Source organism: Homo sapiens, chromosome 16 (genome assembly GCF_000001405.40).
Source record: "Homo sapiens chromosome 16, GRCh38.p14 Primary Assembly".
Classification (NCBI taxonomy): domain Eukaryota; kingdom Metazoa; phylum Chordata; class Mammalia; order Primates; family Hominidae; genus Homo; species Homo sapiens.
In genome coordinates, this window is record NC_000016.10 from 20,659,614 (window position 1) to 20,685,683 (window position 26,070).

Below are 26,070 nucleotides of genomic sequence, written 5' to 3' on the forward strand. Positions count from 1 at the left end.
TGAAATTGCCCTGCAAAGTCTCTTGTGGGAAAAGTCCACATTCTATAGAGAATCCACTTTCCCCTTCATTTTCCTTCCTTCCTTTCCATATCCAGGAGATAATCAACTAAGAACCAGGCACCCCTTTTAAGTCCGATAAGACACATTTTACAACCTTTCTCTCTGAAGTCTGCTATCTGAGAGTTTCCTCTGCACAATAAAACTTGGTTTCCACAATCCTTTCTCTTAACCTGAACATTTCCTTTGATCCCAGGTCTTCAGATAAACTAATCATCAATGACAAAATGTTTAAATTTACCTATAACCTGAAAGACCCCGCTTTGCATTGTCCTGCCTTTCTGAACCAAACCAATGTGTTTCTTAAATGTATTTGATTGATGTCTCACGCCTCCCTAAAATATATAAAACCAAGATGCATCCTGACCACCTTGGGCACATGTTCTCAGGACCTCCTGAGGGCTGTGTCATGGGTCATGGTCACTCATATTTAGCTCAGAATAAATCTCTAAAAATATTTTCCAGAGTTTCACTTTTTTCATCAACAGTAGTAGTTTCCTATGTACAGCATGTGATATAAAGTCTCTTGTCCCTTTTTCCCATGAAATTTTCCCAAAGAATACAAAAACAATCACAAAATAATAATTAGATTCCCTGAAGAAAATGGAGAAAAGTGATGGAAGTTTGAAAGCCAGCTGGATGCATCTAGCATGAGGCTCAGCCCAGCCAGCTCTTGGTGATGAGGAAAGTGGCACCATCTAGACCACTTTTCCACCTCACTACCCTCTCCTGATACAGACAGGGTCAAGAGTGAGGATAGGAGGGTTGTGTTCACTGAGGATCTCTTCCTCATTCTTTTGAAGCTAAACCAAAGTACATAAAGTGGGCAGAGTCTCAGATGGAATCATTAGTTATGCCATGATAAGATGTGTGCCAAGTTTGGACCAAGGCCATCATGTGAGGAATGTTCCAAAACTTGGCTGTCATATGAGCTTTGAAATACAGATGGAAACAGAATACAGCCAGACTGAAGCTTCATGAGTAAAATCAAATTATAATTCAGAGTTAGCTCTGTAAGGGCAATCATTAAACTCTGATATTTTAACTTTTATGTCTAAAACATATTAGCTCTGATTTTTGAACTAGCCATTTCAATTTCAGAGTCCCTAAAAGATACATAAATATCCATAAGTTTCAAAGAGTGTGTTTTGGTTTAGCTTAAAATTAATTCTCAAACATAGGAAGATGCAAAAATAAAGTTGTATTAAGATAACACCACACACCCACCAGCCTGGCAAAAATTAATAAGTCTGACAATACCAAATGTTGGCAGGAACATGGAACAATGGAAATTCTCCTGCCCTGCTTATATAAAGAAGCATAAATTGGTTTGGAAGATAGTATGGTATTGTGTTGTATCAGTGTGACCCGCAATTCCTCTCCTTGAAAAACTCTACAGAAATGCATGCTTGTACACACCAGGGTGCATGTCCTAGGATTCTATGTAGCATTAAACATCAATAGCCTCAAAGCGAAAACTACAGAAATGTCCATTAATGGTAGGACTGGTATAAGAAATTGTGGTATTTTCATAAAATAGGATGCTGCACACAATTAAGATAAACTACAGCAATATGCAACAACAGGGACACATCTTAGAAACACAATTATTATATAATAATGTAGCATTACCTGTTTAAAATTCGAACACATGTAAAATAAAATTTTGGTTAGGGATAGTTCCTTAGGAGGTAAATTATAAAGGCAAGTAAGGAATTAACAACATAAAGGTCAAGATAGTTGTTTCCTTTAAGGGAGATGGAAGTCTCTGAGGTACTGGCAATGTTATGTTTTTTTGACTTGGTGAGTGGGTTACACAGATATTTTAATTTCAATAATTTATTAATCTGTAAATTTCTGTCTTATGCATTTTCTGTACAATTGTTATTTTACAACTGAAATGTTTAAAAAGGAATCAACCCACAATCATGCAAGGCTCACTGAGTTTCCTTTGGATCTCTGGATTTGCTTTAACTAATTAACTTTTGATCATCATCGCCACCAACACTTAACACACAAACACACACACACTCCTCAAAGAACCAGAAGAAAAACAGACCATGATGTATCAGATTCCTTAAAATCTTACCCAAAGATGTTGTTACAAGCCACTTCTACCATACCTGGTGAAATCCTGCTGCAGAATCATTCGATATATAGATGATACCCCCCAAAAGTGGTTAATGGGGTATTTCAACAATGTCTGGAAAGGGAAGAGAGAAGAAATTTTATTTTTACAGTTAAGGTTAAACTAACAGCCAATTATTAGCAGTCTAGTTCTGACCTTCCCACTAGAAGAGCCCATTTGTTAATTTCTTAATCCTTTAAATACACACATACTGAGCATGGATTTCATACATGGTATGCATCAGGTACTGTTGGGGAAATACAAAAACGCAGATAACGTTCCAACTCCTATGGTGAGTAGCCACTAATAGGATAAAACAGGACTCGAATGATAAGGCAGAAGTGGGTAGATGTCATAAGAAATACTTGAAGTACAAAAGTTCTGTAGGAACACAGGAGAGGGAAATACTCTTTCTAGTTGTGTGTCCCAGGGGCTTGATGGAAGAGGTGGTATTTAGTCAGGACATTAGCAAATAGATATGGTGTCTACAGGCAGGGAGAGTGGGAGTCTCTTGGAGATAGATGAAATAACAAGAAATAGGGTCTCAGGAGCTAAAGAAACATTTCAGTCAAGTCAAATAATATGATTTATTTAGACCCACTAGAGAGGAGCAAGAATTAAATTTAGGAAGATAAGGTAAGTTGGAGCCAGGTTATTTAGACTCTAAAATGTTTGGTACTCATGATTAATTGGCTGGATGTGTTTTCTTTCCGAGTTTCAGATCAGGGTGGAGATACACTAAGAGAGTGAAGAACAGTAAAGAGAAGAGAAAGTGGGTTTGGGTATCTTAATTTAAATCCTGTTACTTAATTTGTCTGTAATTCAATTTCCTTATCTGTAAAATGGGAACGTCCATATATTCCATTTAGAATCATGATGAAATATAATTGTCATTTGTGGACAAATCTAGCTCTACTTCCAGTCCCTCCCTTCATAAAGACCCAATCAGCTTTCAATCTCTAGCCTCTATCTCTTTAATATCTCACATTTATATATGCTTTTAAAATTTTTGTCCTACTCTCACCCCTGGCCCACTGCCCCTACCCCAACAGGTGTCTTTACATGTCTGTGAAAGTCTCAGGCCCACTCCAGCAATGTCTGTGTCAGTAACCTCACCCCAGGCACAGTGAGTTGGATTGCTGACTTGGTGACAGACAATTGCCTTAGGCTGTGTTGGTAGAAGAGCTGAGGCAGGACTGGCTTCTCTGTCATGATGTAAAAGAGTCTTGGAACATGTCCTGGGTCCAGGGCCTAAACCCCCTTGTGGCCTTTGGGACACCAATCTCTGTGCCAAAGGGTGGAAGGCTGCCCTGCCGCACCATAATCTAAGCCCAGGGCATAAAACCCCTTGTGGCCTCTGGAATGTGCACAGACTTGTTGGCTACTCTCCCAGGCTCATAAATATGTTCTCCATTATCTCAGGTAGCAGAGCATATTACATATGCATCAAAGAAAATGCTAAACCGTCACAGTTATGCTTGATGCACTGCTACTTTTCTACCCCCATGTCCTCCCATCCTCACCTCTTTACCCCCACATCCGCATGTCCTCACCACCTGCTTCTTTGTTTGATCACCAATAAATAGTGTGGGCTCCCAGAGCTTGGGGTCTTCACAGCCTCCATACCAGTGTTGGTCCCCTGGACCCACCTTATGCACTCTTAACTTGTCTTTTCTGATTCCTTTGACTCCGCCGGACTTTGTAGCCTCCACGGCCTTGTGTTGGGTCTGATCACCCCAACATTCTGGACCACTCACTCAGCCTCTAGTTGACCTGGACTGGTTATCTGGGAAGGGGGAATGTCGCCCTGAAATGCTGTGATTGCTATGTTTGACTATGTGCATGTGAAGTAGCAAAAGTGTTTCTACAAACAGAAACAAGGAAGCACATCTATAGAGAAAAGCAGAGGAGACACTGAAGCTGCCTTAATTGCTGGTATCTTTCTACTTTCTGTTTTAGATCTTTATCAAGCTCATATTGCTCTTCTCCTACAGAATAATGAGCTATTCTAGTTCCCCCTTCCGTGTATTTCTTTTTCCACTAAGCTACGTTGAAGTAGGCTTCTGTTACTGGCAGCCAAGGGAGCTCTGCTTAGTAGGTAAGAATTAGACATCATAGGTGTCTAAGGCCTTTCCCAGAAATTGGCACTTAGTAGGTGTTCATCAAATGTGGGCTCTGGCTATTATCATGTAAGTTGTAATCTATGACTACTCCTGGTGCTTTGCAGCTTTCAGTAGGGGTGTGGAACGGAGATCAGCAGACTCTTGCAACAGATTTGGCAAGGACTAAGTTGACAGGGGTGGGTAGAGAGGAAATAGAAGGAATGTTTTGTTTTACTAAATTGAATAGTATTTATTTATTTATTTATTTATTTATTTTTGGTCTAAATGCCCCCTTTAAAAGGCAGAGTGGGAAGATGGATACAAAGAAAATACCCAACTGTCTTCTGTCTTCATGAGACCCATCTCACAAGTAATGATGCCCACAGGCTCTAAGCAAAGAAATGGAGAAATATCTGCCACACAAATGAAAAACAGAAAAGAGCAGGAGTCCTTATTCTTATATCAGATAAAAACAGACTTTAAACCAGCAATGATTAGGAAGGACAAAGGAGGGCATTATATAATGATAAATGGTTCAGTTCGACAAGAAGACTTAACCGTCCTGAATATATGCACACCAAATGTTGGAACACCTAGATTTATAAGGTGAGTTCTTCTTGACCTATAAAAAGATTTTGCCAAACAAAAATAGTGGGGGACTTCAACAACACACTGAAAATGTTAGACACATGATTGAGACAGAAAACTAACAAAGAAATTATGGACTTAAACTCAACATTTGACCAATTGGACCTAATAGACATCCACAGAATAATTTACCTAACAACCACAGAATATACATTCTTCTTGTTCCCACGTGGAACATATTCTAAAATTGACCACAGGTTCAGTCATAAAGCAAGTCTCAATAAATTCAAAAAATCAAAATCTTACCAAAGTACATTGTTAGACCACAGTGCAAGAAAAACAGAAATCAATGTCAACAAGATCACTGAAAACCATATAAAAACATGGAAATTAAACAATTTTCTCCTGAATAACTCTTGGGTGAACAAGAAGTCAAAAAAGTTTCTGAAATTAATGAAAATGAAAATAGAGATACCATCTACCAAAATCGTTGAGATGCACCTGAAGCAATGTTAGAGGAAAGTTTATAGCACTAAATGCCTTCATTAAGAAGTTAGAAAGATCGCTAATTAAGAATCTAATATCACTTCTAGAGGAACTAGGAAAAAAAAGAACAACCAACAAACACCAAAGCTATCAGAAGAAAATAAATAATTAAAATTAAAGAACTGAATGAAATTAAGATGCAAAAGTTTATACAAAATATCAATGAAACTGAGAGCTTGTTTTTCAAAAGAATAAACAATATTGATAGACTGCTAGCTAGATTAACAAAGAAAAAAATGAGAAGATCAAAATAAGCCCAATCGGAAATGACATAGATGACACTATAAATGGTCCCACAGAAATATAAAAGATTCTCAGAGACTATTATGAACACACTGATGCACCTGAATTAGAAAATCTACAGGAAATGGATAAATTCTTGGGAACACACAGCCTCTCAACATTGAACCAGAAAGAAAGTGAAAACCTGAACAGACAAATTACAAGTTCTGAAATTGAATCAGTAATTACTAATCCCAAAAAGCCCTGGACAAGATAGAATCACAGCTGAATTCTAACAGATATACAAAGAACTGGTACCAATCCCTCTGTAACTAATCCAAAAGATTAAGGAGAAGGGACTCCTTTCTAACCATTCTATGAAGCCAGAATGCTTTTGGCACCAAAATATGGCAGAGATACAATGACAAAAGAAAACTCCAGGCCAATATCCCTGATAAACGTAGATGCAAAAATTCTCAACAAAATACTAGTAAACTGAGTCCTGCAGCACATCAAAAAGTTAATTCACCATGATCAAGTAGGCTTTATTCCTGGGATGCAAGGTTGGGTCAACATATGCAGATCAATAAACAGGATTCACCTCTTAAACAGAATAAAAAAGAAAAGCCATATGATCCTCTTAGTAGGTGCAGAAAAAGCTTTCAAAAAATCCAATCTCTCTTCATGATAAAGCCCCTCAAGAAATGAGGCATTGAAAGAACATACCTCTAAATAATAGCCATCTATGACAAGCCCACAGCCAGCATCACACTGACCAGGCAAAAGCTGGAACCATTTCCCATGCGAATTGGAAAAAGTGTAGGATGCCCACTCTCACCACTCCTATTCAACATAGAATTGGAAGTCCTACCCAAAGCAATCAAGCAAGAGAAAGAAATAAAAGATATTCAAATAGAAAAAAAGTCAAACTATCTCTTTTTGCTGACAATATATGATTATATACATTAAAAAACCCTAAAAACTCTACCAAAGGGTTCCTGGAACGGATAAACAACTTCAGTAAAGTTCCAGGATATAAAATCAGTGTACAAAAATTAGCATTTCCATACACCAACAATGTTCTAGCTGACAGTCAAATCAAGAACACAATCTGATTTACAACTACCACTAAAAATGAAATACCTAAGAATACATCTAACCAAGGAGGTGAAAGATGGCTACAAAGAAAACTACAAAACACTGCTGAAAGAAATCAGAGATGACACAAATAAATGGAAAAAGATTCCATGCTCATATATTGGAAGAATCAATATTGTTAACATGACCATATTGCCTAAAGCAATTTATAGATTCAATGCTATGCCTATTAAAATACCAATGTCATTTTTCACAGAATCAGAAAAAACGACTTTAAAACTCATATAGTACCAAAAAGGGCTTGAATACTGAAAAGAACAAAGCTAGAGGCATCACGTTGCCCAACTTCAAACTATGTCATAAGGCTACAGTAACCAAAACAGCATGGTACTGGTACAAAAACAGACAAATACACCAGTGAAACACAATAGAGAAGTCACAGCTATAGCCATATGGTCTTCAACAAAGTGAACAAAAATAAGCAATGGAGAAAGGACTTCCTATTCCATAAATGGTGCTGGGAAAACTGGCTAGCCATATGTAGCAGAATAAACCTGGGCTCCTACCTTTCGCCATATACAAAAATTAACTCAAGATGGAGTAAGGATTTAAATATAAAACATTACACTGTAAATATCCTAGAAGAAAATCTAGGAAATACTCTTCTGGATATTAGCTATGGCAAAGAATTTATGGCTAAGTCCCCAAAACCAATTGCATCAAAACCAAAAATTAACAAGTGGGACCCAATTAAACTAAAGAGCTTCAGCACAGCAAAAGAAATTATCAAGAGAGTAAACAGCTTACAGAGTGGGAGAAAATATTTTCAAACTATGCATCTGACAACATCCAGAATCAAATATCCAGATTCTACAAAGAATTTAAGTTATTTGTAGACTCTTATATGTGATGTCTAATTAGAACTAATATCAGAATCTACAAAGAACACAAATCAACAAGTAAAACCCAAATAATCCAATTAAAAAATGGGCAAAGTACATAAACAGACACTTCTCAAAAGAAGACATGCAAGCATCCAACAAACATATGAAAAAATGCTCAATGTCATTAATCAGAGAAATGCAAATTAAAACCACAGTGAGATACCATCTCACACCTATCAGAATGGTGATTATTAAAAGGTCAAAAACAAATGCTGGTGAGGCTTTGGAAAAAATGGAATGCTTATATACTATTGATAGAAATGCAAATTAGTTTAGCCACTGTGGAAAGCAATTTGAAAATTCCTCAACAAACTTAGAACTACCGTTTGACCCAGCAATCCCATTACTGGGTATATATCCAAAGGAAAATAAATGGTTCTACCAAGAAGACACAGAGGCTCATATGTTATTGGCAGTGCTATTCACAATAGCAAAGACATCAAATTGACCTAGGTGCCCATCAATGGTGGACTGGTATAAAGAAAATGTGCTACATATACACCATGCAATACTACACAGCCATAAAGAAGAATGAAATCATGTCTTTGGCAGCAACATGGATGAAGCTGGAGGCTGTTATCCTAAGTAAATTTATGCAGGAGTAAAAAACCAAACATCATTTTTTTCTCACTTATAAGTGGGAACTAAACATTGAATACACATGGACATAAAGTTGGAAACAATAGATGCTGGGGATAACAATAGACACTATGAGAAGGGAGAGACAGGGAGGGGGTCGTGGGCTGAAAAACTTATTGGGTACTATATGCACTAGCTGGGTCATGAGAATATTCTTACTCCAAACCTCAGAATCATGCAATATACTCATGTAACGAATCTGCACATGCACCCTCTGAATCAAAAATTTAAAAGACTTTTTGTTTTAGTCTTCAATAAGATGGACTAATACAATATCTAAATTAAAAATTATTATGAATAATTCATAAAAATAGTAAGTGGGAAATAGTAATGCAAATGCTTTTTTGGTAAATTTGTAGAATTTTAAACTTTAAGCATTTACTAAGGCTTAAAATACATAAAGACCTTTTGGGACACTCTCTATAGCAGCGGAAGAATTAGGCATGAGGATGGGAAGGGTGGTCAGTCTTGTTTGTGGTGCTTTAAGTCTCAGGTGCAGAATGTGGTACAGAAAATAATGATGGTGACACAGGAGGAGGCATTGATATAGAGGTAGGTAATGAGATATGGGAAGTGCAGTTTGATGTTCTGGAGGAATGATCAGATGGGCTTTACCAACTAGCAGGTTGGAAATGTTTTGCTAGCCTGGGAGAATCAGCTTGGACCGAGAAGACTAGACCCTAGGTACAGTCCTGACAGCCACCTGCATTGATGTGCTTGCTGAGAAAAATGGAGGTGAAGGAAATTGCTTAGAAAGAAGAACAGTAAGGGCAGACCACTGGAGCACTGCAGTATTCAGGAGCAGGCTAGGTGAAGCAGAGGTGGCTGCAGCAAATGGAGGATGTTCTTTGGTGAAGTTTGGTATTAAGGTGGAAAAGATGGGTTGACCCAGTGTGTAGCAGGTTCAAAGGAAGGCATTTTAGGATAAGTACACTGAATATGTTTACGGACTGAGGGTGTAAAACTAGCGAAAAGTGAGAGACTGAAAATACAGGAGAAAATGCATAGTAGATTAAAGATTAATAAAGAAATGCTGTTTATCCAAGGCCAGGAGACAGAACTCTGCAGTGGTTGTGCAGAGCGGGTGGATTTTGAGAGGTGGAGGGCAAGGTCTGCCTCTGAGAGGGAAAGCAAGGGTGTGAGTGGAGACATAAAGAAAATGTTGGGGTGAAGGGACATAGACAGAAAGAATTCATGCAGGTGACTTGAATTGTCATCATGATGTACTCATCATAACAATAGCAGCAGCAGCTCCCACAGATAGAGTGTTTTCTATGTGCTAATGTCAGGGTTAAGTACTTTACACATATCGCCTCTATCATCTCATTAATATTACCTAAGACTTTATGAGGTAGTAATTATTAAAAGACCTATTTTGCAGATAAGGAAACTGATGCTCAGAGTGGTATGTAACCTGCTAGTTAATTTCAAAGGTGGGATAAGAAGCTAGATCTGTCATATTCCAAGGGCTGTTTTTAAACATTTTATCATATTGAGTAAGAAAACACACACACACACACACACACACACACACACACACACACACCCCAGCTGCTTGGCCCTGGCAGCATCAGGGTCCAGGATCTGGGAGACTTGGACTTGTGCTTGCTTTAATTTTTCAAAATGCACATCCTGGGTCCCAAGTCTACAAAGACTGATCTACAGGTCTGAAGGATCGCCCAGTAATACACATTTTCTTCAAGGTCACATTTTGATGTGACTCAGGTATAGTGACTCAGACTCAGTGCATCACACTTTGAGAAGCCCAGGCTCAGGATCATCTTAGGCTCATGGGCTTCTTTGCTTAATAAAATATTTTTTTAGCAAGGTCCAGGAAACATGGATTTTTTTCTGGAATTTTGCTGATAGGGGAAGGTGAGTCTTCTTACCTGTATGATGACCTTGGTGTCAAACTGTGGCAGATGGTGGATAAAGACTGTACAACCCGCTGTCCATGGTTCTACCAGGGTCCAAATGGTAGCCACAATCCATCCTGAGTCCGACAGGCACCAGGAGACATCAGATGTCTTCAGGCTCCGTAATTTCCTACTAACTCCAAAATGCAGTGGCCTCAGCTGTGTGATCATGGCTGATGTGATGAAGGGCTGTGCACTCTGGTTTTTAGCTACGAACCCACCTTTCTCACTCTCAGTTCATGTGATTTGTGTGGGGCTCCATACCACCCTCAGGCCAGGTCTCAAAGGTGTACTGCCAAATATTTCCCAATTACGTACAACTGAAACTGGTTCAATCATGCTACCTCTCTTGAACTGATTCTCCTCCAGTGTTCTCTGTAACCAGACATGTCATCCCTATCCATGAAACTGTCCAAGCCCCAAACTTTGGCATCAACCTTGACCTCCTCCCATCTCCCATGTTTAACCAGCAGATCTGGTCCACTCTATTTCCTGAAATCTCAACTGTGTTAATTTCCATCATATGTCTAGTACCTGATCCATGCCACTACTAGCTTGCACCTGGATTAGACTAGGAGCCTTTAACTGGTCTTCCCTAACTCTATTCTAATTTTCTCCAATCCATCCTGCATCCTGCAGCCATGATGATCTTATCAAAATACAAATTTGATCAGATCTCCTCCTCCCTAAAAAACTTTCAATATCTCCCCGTTGTTTTCCTAATAAAGTCCAAAATCTACTACAAGGTCTGCAAATCCCTGCACGGTCTGAGTCCTGCTCACTTTTCCAATTGTTCCCATTGGTCCTTCACCCTACACCCTGAGCACCAGATATTCCCAAGTCTCTGTAGTTCTATGAATACTACTTTTTATATCTTTGTGTCTTTGCACATATTATTCCACCTGCACAGAAGCTCTCCCTTCTCTCACCTCCATTCCTCCCTGGGTTTTGCTACTCAACTGTCATCATTAGTGTAAATACCCACTGCCCCTCTTCGGGTTAATACAAAAAGACATCTGTGCTCCATATTCTGTTTAATATGTTAATACATTAAAAAATATAAAGAATTTGGTCCATTCTGAATATTACTAGTTGGAGATGAGAAGGCGTAGAGAAGGAGAGGTTTGGTTTGCAGGTGATTAAATAATTAACCCAAGGATAGAGCTTTGCCCTCTTAGAGGTGATGGCTTGGCATAGCTTGGTTCCAGATATTTTCTTCCCTAGAAGTGAATAATTGAGGAACCCTAAGTCTGATTTGCCCATAATAGGGGAGAGGTGAGGCTCTGTCATCTCAGGTCACCCTGCTAGAATATTCTGTCTTTCCCTACAAAATTATGGAACCACTGTCAGGCTTGTCATGTGTGTGGCATCTGGAATGTCTACTGTCTCTACCCACATTTCCTCCACATCTCCTATGAAGATGCTCTGGTAAAACCTAAATGTGCCTCCTTTGTCACTCTCAGGCCTCTGTCAGCAAACATTTAGGATTCCCAGCCTTCACCTCTCAGACCCTGAGAGGTCTGAACAAAAGAGAGTGGAAGGGAAAAGGAGTATGTAGTCACTTCTACTTCCAGTTCCTTTCCCAAGACACACACACACACACACACACACACACACACACACACAAACTTTGCCCACATCTGGGTCCAGCCTCTATGTCGGTGCCCTCTTTCCTACCTTCCTGGGAAGGAGGGTTGTAAGGCCAACCCATGGGAGTGTTTTGCCATCTTGGGGAAGCCTGTGGTCCCACTGGTGAAGAAGATGACCATTGGGTCCAAGGTCTTTGACTTAACACAGGTGTGTTCTGGGGATGCTGATCTGCAAAGGGGTTCAAGACAAAAGGAAAAAAGTCATGATTGCTGTTTCTTCATCTTCTGGGAATGCAAAAGAAACATAAGGCACGGACAGGAAACTGGGAGTTTGCAACACTAGAGGAAAACTGGCTCTCCCGGAGTTAGGCATCACACTGACTTGATGGGTGATTCGGACATGTGGACCAGCATTTTTTTATTTGAAAAATTAGTAAAATACAATGAATCTTAAGTCATTTAATCTTAAGTAATTTAAGTAATGAATCTTAAGTAATTTAATGAATTCATTAAGTAATCTAATGAACATTTGAATAGCACTTGCTATGTTCCAGGCAATGCTCTCAATGAGTTACAAATATGAACCATTCAGTACTCAGAGCAACCCTAGGAGATGAGTACTACTCTAATCATGCCCATTTTGCAGGTAAGGAAACTGAGACTCAGAGAGGTTAGGTAATTTGCTTGGTAATATACAGCTAGCAAATGGCAGAGCCAGGATTCAAACTCAGTCGGCATCCTAGTCTGTGCCCTTAACCAGACTGCTAAGCTTGTTTTTTAAAATTAAACTCTGTGACCTTGGTGATGAGGGGTGGGGAAGAGAAAGAGAGAAAGGGGGAGAGTAAAAAAAATATATTTAGTTGGGCATGCTGGTGGGCGCTTATACTCCCAGCTACTCGGGAGGCTGAGCCAGGAGATTAGTTGTGAACCTGGGAGGCTGAGCTTGCAGTGAGCCGAGATCAAACCACTACACTCCAGCCTGGGTGACAGAGCAAAACTCCATCTCAAAAAAAAAAAAAAAAAAAAAAAATATATATATATATATATATATATAAAAAACATATTTATATATTATATATCATATATTAAATTTATATATAAAATTATATATAAATATATAAAATATATACTTTTATGTCATATATAATATATACTTACATGTCATATATAAATATAATTATAGGATATATAATTTATATATAAGTATATATAATATATATCATATAGTATATATTGTATATAATTTATATATAAGTATATATATACATATACATGTATATGTAAGTATATGTAAGTTATATATAATATTTATGCTTATATATAAATTATGCTTATATATAAATTATGTACAAAATATGTATAATATATAATATATATTATATAATATATAAAAATATAAATATATAATATATGTAATATATAATATATAAATATAAATATATATAATATATAATAAATATAAATATATATAAAACATATTACATATAAATATATAAAAACATTTATATATTATATCTCATATATAAAATTTATATATAAAATTATACATAAATATATAAAATATATACTTATATGTCATATATTATATACACTTACATGTCATATATACATATAATTATATGATATATATACTTATATATAAATTATACTTATATATAAATTTGCATATTATATATATATTATATATAAAATTACTGCGATCAATGTACCTCTGCCCTAGCATGAGCTTGAGATGGCAGATAAGATCTGTGGTTCCCTCAGTCTCTCTTGTTTCTCAGGAGCTTCCCCTGGACTGAGAGGGCCTTGGGCCTACTACAATTGTAAATGCAAGGCTTCTATGGTGTTCAAAGCAACTGCAAATAATCCCAACACGAGAGGAAACACTAGGTCTGCTGGTCTTGCTGTGAAATGGTATCATACTGACTTTGGGAAATTCGAGGGATTTTTCAAGAGTACTCTGTTTTAATTAAATTCTCTGACATTAGACTACAGCATAAGATGTGACTTTGCTGTAATGTTTGCCTTTTGGGGTTGAAATAAAGAGCTTTAAAAACTCAAGTATTACTCCAAGAAAACAAACCCAGCATGGTTTGTGTGTATAATGTGAGACATGACTGAAGGCTTACAGAATCAGAGTTTTGGAGGCAGAAGGGGCCTTTCTTATCTCCAGCCTTCCTTCACTTTGCCCCCAGGTGTCTCTGAAGGCACCCAGTCCCTGGGAGATGGAAAGAGTTTGCTCCCAAAGCTACCTATAAGCCATAGTTGGCAATTCCATTTTTCTTGGGGTCTTAAGTTTTACCTTAAAAATTCATTTTAACCTTTCATTCAACTACTTCATATATTTTTAATAGAAAAATAAGACTTTAGGTTTCCCACCTACAAGGAATATGTAACACAATAACCCCCTGACTTTACAAATCTCCTTTGCACAGTCCCAGGGGTGAGTATATTTTAATGAGAGGAACATGGAAGGTTGACTTGCTGAAAAATGTGAAATTTTACAGATAAAGCAACTGAGATCAAGAGAGGGCAAGGAACTAGGTCAGGGTCACATAGCAAAACAGTGACATAAGTGAGGTTTCTGACAACTGACTTGATGACCTTCCTACCACTGGCTGCTTGTCTCTCACCACTTGGGAGTGAATGGCATTCTTCTACCTGTGGAACAGGAATTAAAAGAAATTAAAGAATGTGTAAGCAAAAACTCAGTTGTATGTAAGAAAACCCAGTTGCCCCAGAGGAAGAGAAAGAGGTGGAGTCCTTTAAAAATTAACTGCCTGTTTCTCTGTCTGTGGCTAGTGAGCCTTATCTCTCCCTTTCCCAGGCATTGTGAAGACCCTGTTTCTCTAGCTGTGCAGCTGCAAGGTCACTAGACAGATAAACCCAAGTTGCAAAACATGTTTTTCCTTGAAAAGTAAGAAATGATGTAATGCATGTCTCAATTGAATAACTGTCTTTGTTTCTCACTTCTGTAATATGCTTCCCCCTGAACAGATCTCTCCCTCCCCCCTCTCCACCCCCAAAATGCTTAAAAGGTAACCTGACTCTTTGTTCTGGGCTCAGTCCTTTGGATATTAATCTGACTGGGTTGGCTGGTGCACCTAAATAATACATATATCCTCCTCAACCCCATCGGTCTCTCTGATTCCTAAATCATCCCCAAACATTTCTGGTGGCCCATATGGGGATTGGAGATAACAGATTTACTGTCTCCTTTGCCCATGGGACTAGGGCCCTGGGGCTGTGGAAGACCTGGCATCCAAGGCATGCCATGGGGGAGTTTCACCCGGATGGAGACTGGCTCTCCCCGCATCCTGCCCAGCAGTGCAACTGAACCTGAGATGGGGCTGCAGGATGACACCAGCACTTCAGGAACCGCGGTAAGGAGAAAGGGCCCAAGGTAGGAAAGCCCATCCCATAGGGATGAAGGTGAGCTTGATCACCTCCCAGGGACCAACCACTCATCCAACCCAGAGTGGCTGGGGGTGGCAGGAGTGGCCCGCCAATTTGGATGAACCTCGTGTCCCCCTAACAAAGTGAAAGTGGTTCACTGGTGGAGAAAATGGGCCGATACAGCGGCAAGTGCAGCAAGGAAGAGTTTGCTGGCAGAATGGTAAGAGTGGCTTGCCACCCCAACTGGGAGTGTGTGGGTGTGTGCGGACCTACCCAGGACACCAGAGAGGTTCGTTTCCTCTGATGAAGAGTCCTGGGGTAGAAGTGGTGTGTGTATGTGTGTGAATGTGGGAATCTAACTAGGCTCACCCGGGACACGAGAGAGGGTTGTTTTGTCCGATGAGGAGTCCTGAGGCAAGGGAGGTGTGTGAAAGTGTGTGAAAGAGACGGTCTCAGGAGAGGCCAATGCGGGGAGTAATGTGGGGAGGCACAGATCCCTTAGCGCAGGCTGTGTGCTCCCAGGCGAGTGTGGGGGAAATCAGTCCTAGGATGTTGCATATGGCTGATAGGTTGAGCTTCACAGCTGCAGCAGTCTGTGGCAGGGAAAGGCACGTTCCTGGCTAAGCAGCGTCTGAAACTCCTGTAATAGGACCCAGTCTGGTGGACCTTAGAGTGAAAGTGCACCTCAAGGGAGGAAATGGGAGGAAAAGCATGGAAACCAACTCCTTTTGGAGTGCATGATAAAGAATTTTTAAAAAGGATTTAGAGCTGATTATGGGATGAAACTGGATGTTCAAAAGTTAAGGACATACTGTGAATTAGAATAGCCCTCTTTTAGTGATGGATGGCTGACCAATGGCACTATAGGTAAATTGGCTGTGTGTTTTAAGGTAGTGACTAGCCCTGGAAGACAGCCAGGGCATTCAGACCTAGTCTTTATATTGATTCATGGCTAAATGAATGCAGCCCTGCCTAGCAGTTTATTGTAGAACGTTCACAGCTCACACCCAGAGAAACCAGCTGCGCTGGCGGCTACGGAGTTAAAGGTAAAGTCACAGAGGCTTGTAGCACCAAAAGTGAAAAGTGAAAGCCAAAAGTAAAAGTAAAAATCAGCTGCCCTGGCAACTACGGAGACAAAAGAAAAGTCTCAGGAAAGAGAAAACCAGTTTTGCAAGAACCACAGGAGGGAATAGAGACCCCTCCTCCCTACATTCCAATCTACCTCCCTTTACCAAGGCTAACTGCCCCTAAGGAATTAAGTTCAAAGAGATACAGGCTCCCAGTCTCACCTGAGAAGGAGAAATTAGAGCTCCAGGAAGTTAAAGTGAAAGGCTGGAAAAGTCAGGGAGGGTGTCTCAGGTCTGGTCACGCCCAAGTTATGCTTATGCCTCTTAAGAGGACAAGAGGACACCCACTAGGACCCAGATGATGCAGTCCAGCTTCAGCACCTACAAAAGTGCCAAGAAGCCCTTCTGCAAAGGCTAAAGGCTGGTAAAAGAAAAAGGCAACCAATATAAAAAATCTCAGAGGTGCTCCAGGGTGCAGATAAAAGCACCAGCCAGTTTTAAGAAAGACTTTTTGAGGCATTTTGGTTGTACACTCTGTTTAACCCTAAGGCTGCTGAAAATCAGTGCATGGTGGACACAGCATTTGTAAGGCAGGCCCAAGGAGATATCAGGCACAAATTGCAGAAGTTAGAAGCTCCGTAGGTGTGAATGCAACTCAGCTTATTAAAGTGGTTACAAGGTGTACATTAACTGAGTTCAGGAGGCAGAGAAGAAAGCTGATCAGAGGCTTAACAAAGGCTAATTTACTAGCAGCAGCCCTTATGGGAAGAGAAGCTGGCTTTGCAAGGAGGCATGGTCGTGGGCGTGAACACAGTCATGGAAAAGGCTGGTTTGGACAGGAGTTTGAAAGCTGGCCAAGGCTAGAGAGAGATTAATGTGCACGGTGCAAAAGGAAATGACACTAGAAGAATAAATGCCCCAAAAAATAAATAAATAAAATAAGGAGAATGGTCAAGGCCATGGTATAAAAAAAAACCCTCCAGCCAAGGGCTACTGCACCCAGGAGAAACCCAAGACTCCCTGCACCTGCTGTGAAAGGCAGGACATAAAGTGTCAGAAAAAAGCTCAAATCTGCTCTAAAAGTCTCCAGTATTTAAGCCTTTATATAAGCCAAGAGGAAAGATGGCTTAGTAGTAAACAAAAGCAATCTGTTTGTGCACTTCCTACTCCAACCACCTGGTGTCAAATAAGAGAGTTCCTAAGGGCAGCAAGGTTCTGCTGCATTTAGATCCCAAATTTCTAGCTTATGGCTAAGCCACAAAGAGAAGGAAAGAAAGAGCCCCTCCTCTAGGAGGCTAACCAGGAGAAGACTTTTAAAGAAATTAAAAAAAAAAAAAAAGCCTTGACTCAGGCCCCAGCTTTAGGACTGCCAGATCTAACTAACTAAGCTTATCTTCTTGTATGCCCATAAGTGAAAGGGAGGCCATGAAGGTTCTAACTCAAGCCATAAGGTCATGGCATCACCCAGTGACATACTTATCCAGGCAATTAGATTCTGTGGCACTTCACTGGCCTCCTTGTTTTAAAGCAATAGCTGCCACTGCCCTACTGGCTCAATAAGCTAACAAACTAACTTTAGAGACTGTGAATACCCTAAACCCGGCTACCTTGCTCCTCATCAAGTCAGTACCAGGAGACCCCCTTCATTGCTGTGTAAATGTGATAGATGAAGTGTTCTCAAGCCAGAGAGATTTGACAGATAGGCCCCTTGGGGAGCCAGACATAGAATATTTTACTGATGGAAGCAGTTTCATACGAAAGGGAATCTGCTGAGCTGGGTATGCAGTGGTGACTTTGGACTCAGTAGTAGAGGTGCAGTCTTTGCCTACAGAAACTTCTGCTTAGAAAGCAGAGCTAATAGCTCTGACAAGAGCTCTCTGGCTAGCAAAAGACCAAAAGACAAATATTTACACAGATTCCAAATATGCTTCTGACACTTTCCATGTTCATGAGGCTATTTACAAAGAAAAAAAAGGCTTTTAACTGCTGAAAGTAAAGAAATAAAGTACAAGGAAGAAATTCTACAGCTCTTAAATGCTGTATAGGCCTTAAAAGATGTGGCAGAGATGCACTGCAAGGGGCACCATAAAGGAAGAATACTAAAGGCTAAAATAAATAAATAAATAAATAAATAAATAAATGAGACAAAGAGGCAAAGCAGGACAACCCCACCTTCTAAAGAAGAAGCCTTAGCTATGCCTCTCCTCCCAGAGATTCCCCTTCTGTAGATCCCAAGCTACACTCCAAATGAAAGGGCTTGTTTTGCCCAGAAAAATATCAACTACATTGAAGAAGGATAGTAAAAATTTTCCAGTGGGAGGCTAGCCATCCCTGAAACGGTGGCCCCCAGATTTGTAAAACAGTTCCACCAAGGAACTGACCTGAAAAAAAAACACACAAAAAAACAGCACTAAAGACATTATTAAGGCATCATTTCTATGTGCCATGGCTCACTGCTATTACTCAAGCCATTTGTAAATGAACAATATTTAACTTGTGTTCAGAACAATCCATGACAAGGGCTTACTCCACCCCCAGGAGTTCAGGAAACAGAAGCCATGCCATGTGAAAAACTGCTTATGAACTTCACCGAATTACCCTGTGATGGGGGCTATCAGTACATGTTGGTGTTCACCTTTTCAGGATAAGTCAAGGCCTTCCTCACCGGGACAGAGAAGGAACTAGAGGTGACCAAAGTGTTGTTAAAAGACATTATTCCCAGATTTGGACTGCCTCTAACTCTAAGATCTCACAATGGACCAACATTTGTGGCTGAAATAGTTCAGGACTTAACTTGACTATTAAAAATAAAATGGAAATAACATATAGCCTACAGACTGCAGAGCTCAGGTAAAGCGAAGAGCATGAACCAGACACTAAAACAACTGCTGAAGAAATTGTGTCAAGAAACTCATCAAAGGTAGGATCAGGTCTTGCCCATGGTCCTCCTCCAAGTCAGGTGCACCTCCACCAAGCAAACTGGGTATTCCCCCTCTGAGATTTTGTTCAGCCGGCCACCCCCCATCATCTGTAGACTAGAAGAAGTAACTTTAAGAAGGCAAATGCAGACTTTAAGTATGGCCATGCAAAAATGCATGGCTAGGTATAGAAAAATGCCTATAAGTCTAACAGACCCAGTACACCCTTTCAAACCTAAGGATTTTCTTTAAGTTAAAAAATGGAATCCAACCACTCTAGGACCCATACAGGATAGGCCTCATATTGTAATCATGTCTACTTCTACTGCTGTTAAAGTTGCAGGTGTCACACCTTGGATTCACCATAGCTGGCTGAAACTAGCAGCAGCAGTGACTCCCGACTATGACCAGTGGATTAACCAACAAGACCCTGATTGCCCCACCCGAATAGACCTACGGCGAATCCCAACCACCAGTAAGAAGGACAACTGCCCTGCTCTGACCACACTGGAGGCTGGTCAGTCTACACATGGCTGAAGCTTGAAGATCTTGCAAGCTCTGCTCTAGTCACATCCTGGAAGCTGACTAGTCTACACACAGCCGAAGCTAAGAGGACCATCTCTAGATAAGTAAATGTAGATAAAATTTATAAGCCTAGTTATAATTGTTCTGTTGTTACATTATTACTGCAAATGCTGCAAATGTCCATGCCCAGAGGAAGGTTTGCCATTCCTATGTGTAGTGTAAGCATGTTTCTATTACATACACTAATGTTGTTACCATTTCTGCCTATACTAGAAGGGGAGAAATCTCTAGAAGGATGCCCACACTGTGTACATACTACCTGGGTAAGGAATACCATAGTTAAAACTCTACTGTACCATACCTACAGTACAGGAACCAAGTTAGGAACCTGCACATACAACCAGACCACCTATTCGGTCTGTGACCCAGGAAATAATCAGCTATATGTATGTTATGACCCTAAGCTCTTACCCTATGAATTCTGGTTTGAAATACATATTAAATCAGAGGGAGAAAAAGAAGGAGAGTTATAGCTCGAACAAAAGAAGCCCCTCCCTCCTGTAAAGGGCCTATTTCCTTGTACTTTGATGCCTGCTATGCTGCATATGTTCACAATCCTAAAAAAAAACAGAAGCAGTCTGCAATGGTGTAACACAAGAGAGGCTTAGCAGGAGCAGCCCTAAGCATCTGTACAAAGAACCACAAATCGGATGCCCAGACTGTAACATTCAGTGGTCCACACTAACACAACTCCAATATTTATATTCAGGAAGGAGTGCTCTGCTAAGTAGTATGTTAACCAAACCAAACTGTAAGACAAGAACATGCAATCCTTTACATTTTACTATCTTAAAGCCAGAGATACCTTTCTGGTCTACAGGACAGACAGCACTATAACGACTTGATAGACTAGGAGCAGGCCTTGGAGTTCCACTACTAATTGTCAAAAAGACTAAAAGGACTCAAATGCATCCAACCCCGCAATTCTGGGTCCATAATCATTCTATAAGCATTTGGATAAGCCAGTGCCTGAGCTTCCCCCACCAACCAAAAACTTATTTGCTCAACTAGCTGAAAACATAGCTGGCAGCTTAGGAATTTCCTCATGCTATGTACGTGGAGGAACTAATATGGGGAACCAGTGGCCATGGGAGGCAAAGGAATTAATGCCACAAGATAACTTCACTTCGCTTAACCCTGCCAGTGAACCAACAGCCTCAGCCAGTGTTTGGTTGTTAAAAACCTCCATAATTGGAAAGTACCGTATCGCCCGTTGGGGAAAGGCTTTCACAGAGGCAGTAGGAGAAATAACCTGCCTAGGGCAACAGTATTATGATGAGACTAAAAACAAAACTCTATGGAGAAGCACCCAGAATTACTCCTACTTACCAGATCCAAATCCTTTATCTCCATTCTCTACCCTAAGCCACACTTGGCATCAACTAGAGGTTCCAAATGCTTCGAAAGCACCCTCTGGCCTATATTGGATCTGTGGAGCATGGGCATATTGGCAACTGCCAGCTAAATGGACAGGAGCATGTGTGTAGTAACAATCAAGCCATTCTTCTTTCTAATTCCTCTAAAGCAAGGGGAACTCTTATGGTATCCAGTTGATGATGAAAATAAAAGAAGAACTAGAAGAGCATAATCACAAAAATAGACACAAATGTCAAAAAGGATGTGGACATAGGAGACTGGAAAGATAATGAATGGCCTCCTGAAAGAATAATTAAATATTATTGGCCAGCTACCTGGGTGCAAGATGGGTCATGGGGTTACCACACCCCAATCTATATGCTCAACTGCATCATAAGGTTGCAGGCAGTCTTTGAAATTATAACCAATGAAACATCAAGGGCACTAGATTTATTGGCAATACAAGCAACACAAATGAGAAATGCTATATATTGAAATAGATTGGCATTAGATTATCACTTAGCCTCTGAAGGAAGAGTATGTGGAAAATTTAATTTAACCAACTGTTGCCTAGAAATTGCTAATAATGGCCGGGTTGTCATGGAAATCAGAGCTAGAATGCACAAGTTGGCCCATGTTCCAATTCAGACTTGGTCCTAATGGTCCCTGGATTCTTTGTTTGGAGGATGGTTCTCAACCTTTGGAGGATTCAAAACCCTCACTGGTGGGTTTTTGTTTATTCTTGGCATCTGCCTCATCCTCCCTTACCTTTTACCCCTGTTTATTAGGAGGATTCAGTCAACTATAGAGGCAGTAATAACTCAACACACTACCGCACAGTTGATGGCATTAACCAAATATCAGCCACTGCCAGTAGAAGAAGCTCAGCTCTGTGAAGAGGTGGCAAATAGTGGTGCTTTCTATTAACACCTTTGTTATAAAAAGCAACAAAGGGGGGAAATGGAACAGGAATTAAAAGAAATTAAAGAATGCATAAGCAAAAACTCAATTGTATGTAGGGAAACCCAATTCCTCCTGAGGAAGAGAAAGAGGTGGAGTCCTTTAAAAATTCACTGCCTGTTTTTCCGTCTGTAGCTAGTGAGCCTTATCTCTCCCTTTCCCAGGCATTGTGAAGACCCTGTTTCTCCAGCTGTGCAGCTGCATGGTCACTAGACAGATAAACTCAAGTTGTAAAACATGTTTTTCCTTGAAAAGTAAGAAATGATGTAATACATGTCTCAACTGAATAACTGTCTTTGTTTCTCACTTCTGTAGTAAGCTTCCCCCTGCACAGATCTCCCCTCTCACCCCATGAAATGCTTAAAAGGTAACCTGACTCTTTGTTCAGGGCTCAGTCCTTTGGATGTTAATCTGACTGGGCTGGTGCACCTAAATAATAAATACATCCTCCTCAACCCCACTGGTCTCTCTGATTCCTAAATTATCCCACAACAACTGTACTCAGAGATTATATTCATCAGACCAGAGACTCACTTAACCAGCGATCGGAAGTCCAGCCACCCTTCACGGCTGTGATCAGACACCAGGAGCTTGGTTTTCAGAGAGGGGCACTGAGAAGCTATGGAGTCCACCTCTGAGGCAAGGGCATCTATGGTCACAATGCCCTTGGCTTTAGACAACTGTAGTCGATAGAGAATGTCTTTGGCCTTCAACAGGATGGTCGCAGGAATGAAGATGATCCCTGGGGATGAGAAAGGAACTGATTGTTTTGGTTTCTTTTTCACAACCATGGGCTTTAGACTTGGCTTGTCTGCATCGAAATACCCTAACTTCTTGTTATGTAAAGTACAGGCCACAGAACAACAGCAGCAGCACTATCCAGGATGCAGAATCTCACACCCTGTTTCAAACCTACAGAATCAGAATCTGCATCTTAACAAGTTTTCCAAGTGATTCTTTTGCACTAAAATTTGTAAGCCCTGCCCTAATCTTTTCTACTGTAAATGGATCTAGCCAAAAAATGGGTGGACACTGCTTTACACACATTTACACAGGATCTGGAAGTATAGATGTAAACAGAACAGTGTCTCTGACATCAAGAATAGCTGCATCTCTCCCCCATCTTTCCCTTCCTTTTCCCCTTTCTGTCATTCCTTGGATGTCATCTTGAATGTCCCCTCTTTCCTTCATTCTGTATTTCACCACATTGTCCTTTGAGTTTTTTGCATTCCCTTCTATCTCCATTGCCAACAGTGAGCTCAAGCCTTTGTGTTTCCTTCTGGATTCTCATCCCTCCACCAGTTTTGAATCTTCCTGCTACCCATCTTCCATATTATTATTTGCTTAGTTCCATAAACATTGACTTTTTTTTCCTCTGAATTTCTTTTTTTCTTTTATTTATTTATTTTTTTTTAAGGTGGAGTCTCCCCCTGTCACCCAGGCTGGAGTGCAGTGGTGTGATCTGAGCTCACTGCAACCTCAGCCTCCTGGGTTCAAGCAATTGTCCTGTCTCAGCCTCTCCAGCAGCTGGGATTAAAGGTGTCCACCACCATGCCCAGCTATTTTTTATTATTATTATTATTTTTAGTAGAGATAGGTTTTCACCAGGTTGGCCAGGATGGTCTTGGACTTCTGACCACAAGTGATCTGTCTGCCTTAGCCTCCCAAAGTGCTGGGATTACAGCTGTGAGCCACCATGCCTGGCCTCCCTACATTTCTTCTCTGCACTAACACCTGTACCCTCTCTCCAGGAAAACACCACACTTCTCGTCCTGACTTTGAAGATGCTGCTTTCTTTCCATCTTTCTCCCCTACACCTTATTTTCTATTTCAAAATGGCCATGCCTCACCCCATGCTTGGAATGTCCTTCCTTTGTTTCTAATCCTCTTTAATTCTTCTTAGCCCAGAGGGCTCAGCTCAAGTCTTTTTTTTTTTTTTTGAGAGTCTTGCCACCACGCCTGGCTAATTCTTTCTTTCTTTCTCTCTCTCTCTCTCTTTCTTTCTTTCTTTCTTTCTTTTTGTATTTTAGTAGAGATGGGGTTTCACCATGTTGGCCAGGATGGTCTCGATCTCCTGACCTCATGATCCACCCACCTCAGCCTCCCAAAGTGCTGGTATTATAGGCCTAAGCCACCACCCAGGCCAAGTCTTAGATTTCCCATGGACCATCTTATAGGTCTACAGATGACATGGCTTTTCATCTCTATACTCCTTCCACCAGTTTTATTACTTCTTGATTTCACATGATCTGGCTGAATGAATCACCTATTTTATTTGTGAGAGAATATGAGACGGAGAGAGAGAAAATATGATCAAGAGTATGGCAGAGTGCTGTACACATGATAAAATGAGAGAAGTGATTCAAAAAAGAATCTGTGAGTCACTGATTCTAATCTATATAGACAAAAAATAAGTCATCAAAAGGGGAAGGGAAATCTCTACATAAGAATTCTAACTAATAAATGAAACTGACAGAAATAGAAAATTTCCATGTAAAACCAACATGGTAATATTCAATTAGGTAAAGAATCATCACTAGGTACTCAAACCATAATGTGAAAGAATGTTAGGGAATAGGAATATTCACACAATCGCTTAAGGATCACACAATGAATTATTTATTAATTACAAGGAAAAATTGTGCCTTTGTAAAGGATAAAGGTTTTCTGTGAAAACCACCTTGCTTAAGTGATAAAACAGTATAACTGAAGAGGGAACAAACTGACTTCAGAATATACCCCCTGATGTGATGCACAGAGGAAGACACAACTTTGTCCTTGCAATTCTCCTGCCTAACGTGTCTAATCTGAATATAATCACAAAGAAAGAGTCAGAAATACAAATTTGGAGATATATTCTACAATACAACTTGCATTCTTCAAAAATGTCACTGTCATGCAGAAAAGGCTGTGGAATATTTTGGATCTTATCAGATGCCTGCTTTTGTGTTTATGAGTGTTTACCTGGTGTTCATAGGTGTCACAATGCCCACTAGTGATTCTTAAATAATTCAGTAAGAAAGGGAGAGAAAGAGAGAGGGAGAGAGTGCTCAAATATGGAAAAACATTATCAATGAATCTTTAAAAAAGTAAGACTCTCTGAGGCTGTGCAAGAGAAAGTGTATGTGTGTTTGTGTGTGTGTGTGTATGAGACAAAGTTTGGCACTGCACTTGAGAGTGTATGAATGTGAGAGTGTGAGGGAGAGAATAAGAGAATTTGTGAGGGAGTATGAGAAAGACAAAGACTGTGAAGAAGAAAGGAGGTACAGAGAAGAGAAATTGTTTTGTCTCTAATTAAACTGATAATTCCCACAGGGCAGGAAGCCTTGCTTTGTGGTCCCAGCACAGAAACTGGGGCGAAGGCTTCAAAGCTGTGTCAGTGCCAGGCTGGGTGCACAGCACCTAATATCTCAGGACCCATTGGTTCTAGAACAGCCCCGAGGTCCACCAGGTCCCTCTTGCATCACTGACCTGTTCGCATGCAGCCCACAGCCACCAGCCACCACTCAGGAACTCGAGGCAGCATCAAGGCCAGATGGTCTCCCTGTTGTAGGCCACAGGTCTGTGTGAAGACGTTGGCTACACGGCGGGTTAGGTCTCCCATCTCTCTGAAGCTCCACTTTACTTCATCCCCTTGGCCATTCACCCACCAAAAAGCTGGATTTGGACCTCTCTTGCCCTCCTGGTCAAGACCATATATTATGTGTTATTTTCTGCTTCAAAGAAAAAGGGCACTTAGTAAACTAATCCACAGCCATAGTCACGTTCCAATGTGAACACAGCTTAAGGACTGAGATCCCATTTTAAAACATTTATACAGCCAGGCGCAGTGGCTCATGCTTGTAATTCCAGTACTTTAGGAGGTGGAGGCAGGTTGATCATGAGGTCAGGAGTTCGAGACCAGCCTGACCAACATGGTGAAACCCTGTCTCTACTAAAAATTTAAAAATTAGCTGGGCATG

At 40.4% G+C, this 26,070-nt stretch overlaps 2 protein-coding genes across 40 annotated transcripts in view, besides 1 other annotated feature; one reads left to right on the forward strand and one right to left on the reverse strand.

Annotated features, from left to right (window-relative positions):
- Positions 1-26,070, reverse strand: part of ACSM1 (acyl-CoA synthetase medium chain family member 1) — a 74,446-nt gene that overhangs the window by 36,379 nt on the left and 11,997 nt on the right. For 12 of the 17 annotated variants that reach the window (XR_007064850.1, NM_001318890.3, XM_011545730.4 and 9 more), the window contains 5 exons: positions 25,580-25,790; positions 22,643-22,850; positions 11,918-12,058; positions 10,214-10,373; positions 2,181-2,260 (listed from right to left, as the gene is read on the reverse strand). Coding sequence is in view for 15 of the 17 variants with exons in the window: in NM_001318890.3 (NP_001305819.1) it covers positions 2,181-2,260; positions 10,214-10,373; positions 11,918-12,058; positions 22,643-22,850; positions 25,580-25,790 (800 nt within the window). In the remaining 2 variants the exon portion in view is untranslated. Of the gene's footprint in view, positions 1-2,180; positions 2,261-10,213; positions 10,378-11,917; positions 12,059-13,538; positions 14,394-14,422; positions 14,488-16,511; positions 16,726-22,642; positions 22,851-25,579; positions 25,791-26,070 lie in introns of those variants that run through there. The other 5 variants (NR_134918.2, XM_011545732.3, XM_047433585.1 and 2 more) reach the window with 5 other exon arrangements.
- ACSM3 (acyl-CoA synthetase medium chain family member 3) overlaps positions 14,792-26,070 on the forward strand; it is a 123,177-nt gene continuing 111,898 nt past the window's right edge. For 17 of the 23 annotated variants that reach the window (XM_024450368.2, XM_047434435.1, XM_047434438.1 and 14 more), the window contains exons 1-2: positions 14,887-15,209; positions 19,545-19,836. The gene's annotated coding sequence lies outside the window, so the exon portion shown is untranslated. Of the gene's footprint in view, positions 14,865-14,886; positions 15,210-19,544; positions 19,837-26,070 lie in introns of those variants that run through there. The other 6 variants (XM_047434440.1, XM_047434432.1, XM_047434433.1 and 3 more) reach the window with 3 other exon arrangements.
- Positions 22,709-23,210: an enhancer, noted in NCBI's record as "NANOG hESC enhancer chr16:20693644-20694145 (GRCh37/hg19 assembly coordinates)". NCBI's record gives its function as "activates a minimal SCP1, AML or CMV promoter by ChIP-STARR-seq in naive H9 embryonic stem cells {active_cell/tissue: H9 hESC(naive)}" and the evidence as "EXISTENCE:reporter gene assay evidence [ECO:0000049][PMID:30033119]".